Here is a 12,371-nt window from a genome sequence, read left to right as displayed (position 1 = left end):
CTACTCCCTTAACTGGTATGTTTTGGAATTTCAGTTTTGTTTACTTTTAATACTTGCATTTTCATATAAAAGTTTCTGCTAAGGATGGTGAATTCTTATAAAGAGTGAAGACAAGACCAGGTGCGGTGGCTCACGCCTGTAATCCCAGCACTTTGGGAGGCTGAGGCGGGCGGATCACGAGGTCAGGAGTTTGAGACCAGCCTGACCAACATGTGAAACCCCATCTCTACTAAAAATACAAAAATTAGCCGGGCGTTGTGGCACATGCCTGTAATCCCAGCTACTCAGGAGGTTGAGGCAGGAGAATCACTTGAACCCAGGAGGCGGAGGTTGCAGTGAGCCAAGATCGTGCCATTGCACTCCAGCCTGGGTAACAGAGCGAGACTCCGTCTCAAAAAAAAAAAAAAAAAAAAAAAAAAAAGAGTGAAGACAGTGAATAGAATTACCTTAGAAGTATCTAAATGGGACCACCATTAGCAATAAAACACACACACACACACAACTTCATATATTTTCATACTGAAAATCTGCCCTTTTGGCTTATAGGACTCTCCTCCCACTCTTGACAGTCCACTTTAATCTCATCACCCATTTGCTTCTCAAACATGGATGCTATCTAGAGTTTAGTTAACCGTGATCTATATGTTAATGATGCAAAAAAATCTCATTCTGTAGCCCTGCCTGCTCACCTAAGCACTGTGCTTGTATATCTTGTTCCCGAAGGCACTTAAAAACTTATAAATTTCCTCATGTCTGCTTCTTTTTCTGTCTTCCTCATCTCAGTTAATGGCACCACTATCCACTACATCACTGAAGCCAGAAGTCTTGGAGTCACCTGTAACTTCTTTTTTTCCCTTCATATTCTTTGCTAAATCTCTTGAGTCTCTAAGCCCTAATGATTTACTTCCTAAATATTTCTCAGTTCTGTTTCCTATACCTCCATTTCTATTGTGACAACCCATTATCTGTACTGATTCTTCCTTAGAATATTAAAACAGCTTCCTAACTGGTATCCCTATCCCTAGATTCAGCCCTTCAAATTTATCATCTACCTAAAAGGAAATATGACTGTATAGTCACTTCCTTGCTTAAAACTGTTCAATGGCTTTCAATCATCTTCCAAATAAAGTTTGAAATTGTTAGCACGGAATATAAGGCCCTGGCCTCACACTATTTCTTCTTCCACTCCCTACTTCGTAGCTAAGGCTGAATCGTACTGAATTGTGGTAGTTTGTCACACATCATCCTTTGGAAACGTAGCTCAAACATATATCAAGATATAATACTCTATTTACATGTTTATATCTTTTATGATTGTGCGATTCTTTGATCAAGGACTATTCTTGTTTCCTGTGGTAACTGGCATGTGGACAATGAAATGATTCATAATATAAAAAGAAAGAATTTTGAATAACAAAATTAGATCAGTATTCTTGGGGGTCTTAACTGTATTAATTGTGGAAATGAGAATTTTTAAAAGCACTCATTAGTTTTATTTTAACGAGATGGACACTTTGTTAATGAAAGTGAGAGAAGATTTTATATTTTATTTAAAAATGATATTCAGCCAAAATCATTTATTCTCCTGTAAAATAATGACATGTTGGAATTACTCCTTATTGATTTAATTAATTTCCCTCCAGTGACCTAAGACTTATGCTTTGGATATCTTCATAAGATGAATAGCTATTATGATGTGTCATCAATATATTTATTGTTACAATTTAAATAATCTTTAAAACACATTTCTTTATGAATAAGCTTTATTTCAGCTTTTCCTAGTTGAGAAACCAGAAACTAGAGATGAATCCAAGAATCTGGATACAGCCAGTAATAAGCACATGGCTGAAAATCTGTTTGATTATATAAGTTGACTGGGCACTATAGGAGAAATACAAAAAGCTTCATAGAAAGGAATGTCCCATGTAATCTAAGTTTTTCTGTATTCATGAATTAATCAAACCTCTTAGTTCTGTCAATCATGTGGACCAACCTAGTATGGAACCCCTCTTATCACAAATAGATGGAAATGCTATATACAATATAACCTAATAAATAGACAAGCCTGTGTGTGTGTACACCCCTCCCCACACCTACCCCTCACATATAAATAGCTGATTAAATAAAAAATTAAAAGGGAAATCTTAAATCATCATCAGAAAAAAAAAACTTTACAGCCAGTGTAACAGCCTTGTAAGCTGATATCTCGTTGGATCCTTCATTGGCAGTTAGGATTGGGTAATACCCATGTTAGGACAGCAAATTTGGTTTTTGGTTGTGAACTAAAATACTGTAACTGAGATGCCCATACAGACATATGGAACATTGTTAAGGCTACAAGATGAGTCACTAGAAAGCTTATCTTGGTCTAAAGCTGAGTGAAAAAAAATCCCACTGGCAAATCTATATACAGATATGGAAGTTATATTACTAGTTTTGTGTAGAATTCCTTAATTGAGAAATAACCAACAGTGTGATTCTAGACATTGTTAAACAATAAGTACCTTGAGGTAACCAGCAGAAGCAAATATAAAAATGCTTTGTACCAATAGTTCAAAAAATAGGATGCTTGGGAATCCCACACTAGAAAAATAATCTTCAACTAAAAATTAGCTCACAATTTTAAAAACGTTACTGACTACACAAAGAACATTTATTAGGTAAAGTTAGTGGAGATAACCATTTGGAGGATTAATATTGTATAAGAGCTTGGCTAATAGAACAATCTGAAAAAGACTATAAAATAAATACGTTTAATGTATTTAAGAGATAAAAGAACTAGAAACCAAGAAGAATAGGATACTGAAAATAGAACAGATAAATACGAAAAAGAATCAAATAAAATGTATAGAAATGAAACAGCTAAAAAGGGAAATAGTGAATTAAAAGAAACCTCTAAGGAAATGGCTTCGAATGAAGCATAAACACAATATCAAAAAGTGGTTAAGAGAATTGGGGTACAGAATAAGATAAAACTCTAATGAGAATTTCAAAGAGAGAAAAGAAAGAGTGGGGAAGAGATAATATATAAGGAGACAACAGGTGAAGATTTTTAGTACTAATGAAAATACATGAGGTTACAGACTGAAAACACACAGGTGCTAAGTAGAATAAGGAAAACAGAATACACATATAGACACATTGTGGTAAAACTACGAAATGTTAAAGACAAAGAGAACATTTTAAAAGCAGCAAGATGAAAAATCAAAGATTACCTACAGAGAAAGAATTATTAGATCAATAGCCATGTTGTAATCAGCAACAATAAAGGCAGGAAGACAAGTGAATAGTATCCATAACATGCTGAAAAAGATGTGAACCTAGAATTCTATACACAAAGAAATTTCTTTAGGTAAGAATTAAAAAAAACAGATATATTTCAGGAGGAAAGGAACTGGATCCATAGAGAGAGTGGCAGTAGTGAGCAAAGAAATGTATAACATGTAATTAGGACTAAATAGGCTCTGACATAAAAATAAACAAATATGTATGTATGTATGTGTTTTATTTTATTAATTTGTGGATATTTAAAAACAATGTTTGATATTTCTAGTCAACATTATATTGAGTGTTTGGGGCAGTATGACAAGAAAAAGTAATAAAAGCTTAAGGACTTGAAAGAAAGAAAAAACTATCATGATACAGAGACTCTGTAATTACGTAAAAATCTCATGAAAATCTGTAGACAAATTAATAGAATTAATGAATGTCCTGAATGCTTGCTACATATAATATTGATATATAAAAGTCAAACAATTACATTCCTAATTGTCTACCATAGCAGAAAATGTAATTGTACAAGACATCATTTAATATAAGAACAAAGTTGTTAGGGGCCTAGGAATACATCTATTAATAAAAATGGGCAGAAGTATATGAAACATAATGGAAAGACATTTAAGAAGGCTTAAATAAGCAGAAAGACGACATCATGTTTATGGATAGAAAAACTCGGTATCATGTCAATTCTTGCCAAATTAATGTTAAATTCACTGTGATCACACAGTCAAATCCCAACACCAAATCTCAATCCCAACATCCCAAAGACATGTATGTATGTGTGTAACTTCAGAACTGATTTTAAACATTTAATTAAAAAGCAAAGGAGCAAGAATTTCTTATGCAATTTTTAAAAAAGACAAGATGTAGAAAATCTCAGTACTAGATTTCAGTATGTATTATTTTTAAAAAGCATAGTGTTAGTATGGGAATAAGTAAGTAAACCAGTGAAACAGACTAGAAAGCCCATATATGGAAGCTTAATCTATGACTGAGGAAGCATTGCAAGACCATAGGGAAGGACAATTTAATCAATAGTCCTGAGACAATTGGTTTTTTTATTTGGAAATAATACAGTTTGATTCCCACTTTACACTATGCACAAAAATCGATTTGAAGGGACAAAATGTAAAAATATGTAAAAATAAATTCTTGATAGCCTTAGGAAAAATGAGAATATTTTATGATCATAGTTTGTGAAGAGGAAAAAATTTGAACAAGATACATAAACATCAAATCATAAAAAAGATATTTACAAATTGGAGTTATGAAAATTTTTAATGTCTATTCATCAAAGAAAACCATACAAAATAAAAAGAAAAACTACATACTAGATGGAGTTGTTTGCAATACAATATGATACCATTCTGTGATTATCAGACTGATACAATTTGAAGGCTAAAAACTGAATGTTGGTGAGGACGTGGAGAAAAGAGAATATTTATTTACAGCAAAAATTGGCAATATTTATGAAAGATGAATATTCAACTAAGATCCAGTTGCTTAATTTCTAAGTGTATTTTCCAGATAAATTATTACACATTGCAGAATACATGTACAGAAAAGTTCATTGGTTTCATTACAGTAGCAAAAACAATAATTAAAAGTATCTGTAAACAATACAAAATAAAAGTATATTTATATCATGTTAGAAGTTAAAATGAATGAGAGCTGTGTGTACTATGATGTACAAATCTCAATAATAGAGTAGAAAGCATGTGGCAAAATATGTTCAGTATACCATGTTTATCAATTAAAATCAACATAAAACAATACTGTATGATATTGTGAGGCATGCATATGTAATAAAAGTATAAAAGTATGCATGGGAGAGACACTCTCCACCCTCAAGATAGTGATAGTAATTGGGCCTGAAAGGTTAGGAACTCTGAAAAAAAAATGACAAAACGTTATTGTAGATACTGGGTACTAAATGACTTTTGTTTCTGTAGCTTTCCATATGCTTAAAATATTTCATAACTAAACAAAATCTAAATAGGCATTCAATTTAAAATAAATATACACATGTGTATATATTTGATTAATTGGAGGATATGTAAAAACATTGCACAATATCTTCTAGTCAACATTATATTGGATTTTTTTTTTTAGAGAAGCAATGAAAAAATTATTCTTAAGAAAAGTCTTATGCCTTAAGCTGGACACCCAAATGTTAACGCTATACTTGGCAAATAACTTTGATCCCTAGAAGGATGAAACAAATTGTGTTTTCAGCCCTTGCATACACCTGCATCTTCACGTAGTGCTCTCTCTGAAATGATTTGGGTACCAAACATGAACTGGATAGAACTGAAAACTGGAGGTGGATAAATCTGGTCTCCTAATAAATTGAATTACTGAAAATGTTGAAGGATACAGATATAATTTATTGATATCAGCAAATTCGGCATAAAGCCCAGGGCTGTGGATGACTGAGTGAAATTTATGCTTGGATAGATTTCAGTTTACATTTTTCGTTTTAATGAGAATGCAGAAGAGGACCTAAACAGGGGCAGTGCAGTGATTTTTGTCTCTCTGGGTCACACCTTGCTGTCCCTTGTTTGACATTCAGACCAGCAACATGAATGCATGTTAAAGAGCCTGCCTGCTAAGCACTGATGGCTTTTCCTATTCACTCGCCTAAGCCAGGTTTAGGAGCTTCTGTTTATGGGGGTGGCAGAACTGCCTCAAGGGTGCTGATGGGGCTGAAATGGTTCTCTGCCATGTAGTACAAGACTCTCAGGCCCTGCAGATCCCCTTCTGTGCAGCCCTTGTCTCTCTCACACCACCTGGCAAAGAAAGTTCCAAGCCACCCTGGTTTTCCTCACTCCCTCCTCTCTTCTCAGGTTTACTTTTGTAATAGTACCTACCACCCGTAATATAGCATGTGTCTTTGGAGTTCTATATTTATGGATTTGGGGCTCCTTTTGGGCAAGAACTATGTCTCAGACAATATGCAGGTAATTTGCACATTGTAGACCTACAATATGTAAACCAAAAAGCATCTGAGACAGGTCTCAATCAATTTAGAAGTTTACTTTGCCAAGGTTAAGGACATACCTGGAAGAAGAAAACATGGAATCACAGAAATAATGTGTGGTCTGTGCCTTTCTCCAAAGATGAATTTGAAGGCTTCAGTATTTAAAGGGGAAAAAGTGGGCTGGAGGGAAAGAAGGGTGGGTACGGTAACCCATGTGTTGCAAGAAAATAGGAGCAGGTAGGGGAATAGTCAATTATGTATTCATCTGGCAGCACATTACATAAGATAAGGTGAACATAACGGTTTATCTGTAGCTATTTGCTTAGGAACAAAAGGAAAGGCAGCTTCTTGTATGACTCTACTTTCAGTTTAATTTTTTCCTTTTGGCATAGTGAATTGGGGTCCTGAGTTTTTATTTCCCTTTCACAAATGTTTGTGGGAAAATATATCTCCTGCATGGATACTATTTGGATACTCTAACAAAGAAATTATGGGATTGTTGGCAGCAGTGAATCCATACAGGTCTGCAACAACCTCACTTCTTGCCCTCTCAGAAGAAATAATTCAACCAAGGGGCATAAGGCAGAGGGAGAGACTGAGGCAAGTTTTAAAGCAGGAGTGAAAGTTTATTAAAAAGTTTTAGGGCAGGAACGAAAGGAAGTAAAGTACACTTGGAGGGGGGTCAAGCGGGCAACGTGAGAGATTCAACTGCCCAGTTTTACCTTTGACTTGGGGTTTTATATGTTGGCATTCCACATGTGCCAGCCAGCATTTTGGAGGGGCTGCATGCACAGTGTGTTTACTGAAGTTGTACGCATGCTCTCTTGAGGCATTTTTTTCCTTATCAGTCGCGTGTTCCTAGAGAAAGTTTATACATGAGTTAAACTCTGCCATTTTGCCTCTTAGTGTGCATGCTTGAACCCACTTGCCCAACTCCTCAGATCTTATTAGGAAGCTGCTCACCACCAACTTCGGGTGTTTTTTATCTTTGGGAGACTGCCTTTCCCTGGCACCAGGTGTGACCAATTATTACTTTAGAGAGACAGTTTAACAACTACCTGACCATCACCTGATGGTCACCTGGCATTCCTGGGTGGTGGGGGGACCCTCTTCTGCCCTGCTCATGTCTGTCTAACTACTTACTCTAACAGGCTTACATATTTAAAAGTCTTTGTCAATTCCAATTTAGTGAGCCTGGGATGCGCGCGTGTCATGCACACACACACATGCATGTATGAACACATTTTTAAACTGTTTTTTAAATATATTTATGTTTCTGTTATGTTTGTCCCTAAATCAATGTAGCATTCTATATTGCTTTTTAAAAATATTCTAGGCCAGGCACGGTGGCTCAGGCCCGTAAGCCCAGCACTTGGGGAGGCCGAGGTGGGCGGATCACCTGAGGTTGGGAGTTTGAGACCAGCCTGACCAACATGGGGAAACCTCGTCTTTACTAAAAATACAGAATTAGCCAGGCATGGTGGCACATGCCTGTAATCCCAGCTACTCAGGATGCTGAGACAGGAGAATCACTTGAACCTGGGAAGCGGAGGTTGTGGTGAGCTGAGATTGTGCCATTGCACTCTAGCCTGGGGAACAAGAGCAAAACTCCATCTCAAAAAAAAAAAATAATAAATTGTGACAATGCTTTGTTATTTAAGGGGAAATATACATTTTGGAATTAGGTAAGAGTTCATTTTAATCAAAACATAGCAACACCATCACATGGAATCGCTCAAGTCTGCCAAATTTCTAGTTAAAATGCATGAGTTGGAGAAAACATTTAAGAATATTTGATATGTTTATACCAATCTAGGACTGTTTATCTCTGGACTACTTTACATGAAAGAAAATAATCTTCTAGGTATTTTAAGCTGCAGCTTTTTTAGCTTGTTTTGTTATTTGTAACCAAACAAAACTAATGGAATTCATAACAGATATAGTACCCAAGAATGTGTCAAATATCAACAAGGTAGCAGACATCAACTTTTCATCTAACCTGAAGTTTAGAAAATTGCAGTTCAGTGTCTTCAGGAATTTCTTGATTCTACCTGTTCTGTAGTGACAGCACCTGAAATCATTGTTTTATTGTCTCTCTTTGCAAGAGTGTGGGTATCCCCAAGCATGCCTAAGGGAAATCAGGGGCATATGTTGAGTTCCCTTCTCTGATCAGTTTACATTTTTATTTATAGTTATATTTTTGTGTTTAAGGACAATACATGCCAGTCAACTACAGCATAAAACTGCCGAGGAAGGCCTATTGTTGAGCAAATCACTCTTTAGAAGACAAAAGCATTAATGTATTATTAATACAGTGCCTATATTCTATATGTGGGGTCTGCAGAAATACAAAATTGGCTTCTTGAGACTTGAAATTTGTTTCTTGTCTGGTTCTGCTTTCCCCTGTTTGAACATGTTAGATTTTAACACATCGTTCATACGGTTTCAATTTAATTCCCACACAATTGCTATACTACTTGAACAGAACAAACAAAACTAATAAATAACAAAGAAAGCCCAGGCATTTGAGATCTTTTCAAAATGCTAGTAACACTGTAGATAAAAACAAGTTCTAGGAGTTCAGAAGTTAGTATACAGAGACATTGGGTACTTTATGCTCTAAATATAGCTTTTATTTATTTTATTATTTATATTGGCCCCTTATAAATGTAAAGTAATGAGTTGCCCAAGGGATTTTCTTTATCTCCTTTCATAGCAGTCACTTACTTGTTTATTTAACAAATGTTTGTTAAGCACCTACTATGTGCCAAACACTGTGCTGGACACTGGGCAAAAATGTTTCTTGCCTTCAAGGTGCTTCGAGGACTCCAAGGACTCTAGTGGGCTTACATATCATCTATTAAAAAACACTGCTGATGACTTTTTATCCATAAGACCCACATAACCTAAACACAGGTAAAGAAAGGTAATAGCAACCAAAAATGAAACATAAACAAACTTTAAGGTAAAGCTTCTGCCACAATAATTGTAATTGATAGCATTTACTGGAAATGTAACTATTATCCAGTAGATGCAGTTTTAGGAGGTAATTGTTGTTATAACTCCTTTTTACAAATGAGGAAACTGAACATTACTGAAGTTCCATAACTTGTTAAAATTGTACTGCCAGTAAGGGTTTACAAAGGTTTTTAGCCAGGTAGGCTGACTCTAGAGCCTAGAGTGGTGATATTTTCAAAACTTTTTGTGTAATAAGTCACAACCCCTCACATTCCCAAAACGTTTAAATATCTGAGGGATGTTTTCTGCAGAGTGGGAACTTTTGTTTAATATGCCCCATGATATGTAGCTTGAGACAACCTTGCATTTTTAAAAACAAATATTTTAGCCTTAGACTCTATCCCTCTGAATGGGGAACATCACCTCACCATTGAATTCAGAGTGGTCACAACACTGAGCTTCTCAAAATTAAAAGTATTTTAGTCTTCTTGTCAGTAAATGTAGGGACTGGCAGCTTTTCCATTTAGTTTGAATATTCTAATAGTTATTGATCAAAATCTTATACCTAGAAGATAAAATACTGTGAAATAACAAGGATGATTTTATACAACCTAAACCAGTATGAAGATATTCTGATTAATTTTAGGCTACTTCCAACTGCACCAAGGCCACCCTGAAGTTTCTATATATGAGCTTTCTGTATACAATCAGTATTATTATTATTAGAAGTTGATCAGTTAGAATTACATTCATTGTGACAAACAAAAACCCAGTAAACATTTAAATATCAGGTTTAATGAAGATTGTTCAAGGCTGAGGCGGCTTTTCTAATATGTCATGAAAGAACCAAGTTCATTTTATTTCTGTTCCATCAACTTCACCATGACTTTCATCCTCACAGTTTCATTATTGTTGCTGTATTTCCAGCCATCACATGCCTGTTCCAAACAGGAAGAATGAGAAAAGCGAAGCAATAGGAAGCCTTTTTGGTTTCTAGGGACTTCCTCTACATCTTATAGGCCAGAATTGAGCTACCACGACCTGAAAGAGACTGAGAGTTAAGCATTTCCATTTTCTGGCATCAATAATAGAGGAAAACAAGAGAAGGGTTGGAAAAGGTATTGAAAGAGCCATACTACAGCATCTACTACAGAAGTCATTTGCATCTTTACTTCAGAAACCATGGAAAACATAAGCAGGTTTCTATTTCTCTGTTTATGTGACTCTTCCCCTTATTTTGGTGATGAAAGGCTAACAAGAATAATTTGGGGGTTTTGTTTATCTACTTGATTACTTAAGGGAGAAAAATGAGAGGATACAACCTTCTGAGACAGCACTTTTAGGGCACGTGACAGCTCACTATGAATCAGAAGTGAATAGTACCCCTACCCAGCTTGGTACGCACACAGAAAAGGGGCATTTGTGAAACAGATGGTAAGACCCTACAGGATTCCACAAGGACTTTCTTCGTAGTGTATTTCCAGTAGAGGTCAGTGAGCATCCCAGGTTTCTAAAATTAAGCTTCACTGCTGGCACTCTAGGGATGGTCAAAGACATAACCATTGTCTGCACTTAGTCATTAACAAGTCCTCAAATTATTCTTGCAGAGAATATGCCATTGGAATATGCTTTTGGGATTGGGAAGATTTGAAAAGGATTCCAGCACCTTATCACTGAAAGGGACTTTAGAAATCATTTATTCCAATTCCTCTTACTTTTATCCAAGGAAACCAAAGCCCAGGAAATTAAGTCATTTGCACTGGGATACCCAGATGAGGATCACTTTGGTGTCCTTTTCTACCAGTTGGAAGAAGTAAGGACATTCCTATAACAGGTTTCCATAGCACTATGTGCGTCCCATATGTAATACTTGACCGCAAACATGTGTTTAGCGCTGCTTTTTAGTTTACTGTAGTTTAGTGTCTCCCTTCACGTCTACACTGCAAGTTCATATGCAGGTTAGGAACAACATCTGTCTCATTAAATGCAGTATTTGTAGGGCCCAGTACACTTTGGGGAACAGAGAAGGCACTTGATATATTTTTATGGAATAAATAAAAGACTAGATGGTTCAAGAGATGCTAGCCAACATCGGATAGAGGTTGTAATTTTTATTTCAAATTACCAGCATCTCTAAGGCAATTGTTATTTAGGTCATCTGCAGAAATTGGGTGAACAGCCAATACTACATTCCACTAAGAGAACATTTTTCTACCTGCGCCGTTCCTGACCCCCTCATCACCCACTTTCCCAGGACTAAGGATCATTTAAGCCCCCGCTGTGTGTGAATCTGTGAGTGAAGGCAAATAAAGATATTTTCAGTAACATATTCCACTATCTGGGAAGACATTGGTTACCTGACAGTGATATAAACCCAGTAATTCTGGGTGGGGATTGAACCAAACATATGCTTTTAAGTTGAGAGCTAAAGAAAGTGTAACAGTATCTGTCATAATAAATCCCAAGGAATCTTCATTGAGCTGTTTAGAGTGGTATGGAATGTGTAACCAGTTTTCATATTCTCCACCTTGTACCCTATATCCAGCTGGAGTTCAACGATAAAAACACTTTTTTAAATTTTTGGCATATCTTTAGGATCTGCTGTTTATCTTATGTTTTTATCAGCTTACTTCTGTGGGGTAGTCTCAGTGTTTGCAAGGTTACAGTGATAATTTTCTATCTAATTTTATTCCAAATAGAGTTGCTATTTGGATGGCTGGGGGCTAGAGCATGCCCTCAGATTGCCTGGTCAGAAAGGAATGCAAGTAGTTGGAAATCTTTCAGTTATTTGTTATCCAAGGTAACAATGCATTTTAGAAGGAGGAATCACTTGTTGTTGCTATTTCTAAATCTATTTATAAACTTTTATGTTCGCTGAAGGACGAGACACCCTAGAATTAGGACTGATATAGATTTAGAAAGATCAGATGGTTATTTAAGACCTTTTGAGAGCAGATAAGGCTCTCCCTAGAAGTTAAAAAAGAAGAGGTTTGACTCTTAAAGGCTATAATTTCTACCACTTAAAGGGATTATTATATAAACTGAATATTAGCATTATATTTTCTGTTAAATTACAGTCTAAACAAATGGCTTTTGATGTTAAGCTGATTGTCCTAACCAAAATATTATCTTATTATTATTCATTTTTAAACAC

The 12,371-nt window shown here is 35.7% G+C and overlaps 1 long non-coding RNA gene across 1 annotated transcript in view; it reads left to right on the top strand.

The window, feature by feature from the left end:
• Nucleotides 1-12,371, top strand: part of LOC105369844 (uncharacterized) — a 310,508-nt gene that overhangs the window by 289,343 nt on the left and 8,794 nt on the right. The gene's annotated exons all lie outside the window — the stretch shown is intronic.

This window comes from Homo sapiens, chromosome 12 (assembly GCF_000001405.40).
Source record: "Homo sapiens chromosome 12, GRCh38.p14 Primary Assembly".
NCBI lineage: Eukaryota > Metazoa > Chordata > Mammalia > Primates > Hominidae > Homo > Homo sapiens.
Note: the sequence above shows the minus strand (reverse complement) of the source record. Positions and strands in the feature narration are given on the sequence as shown.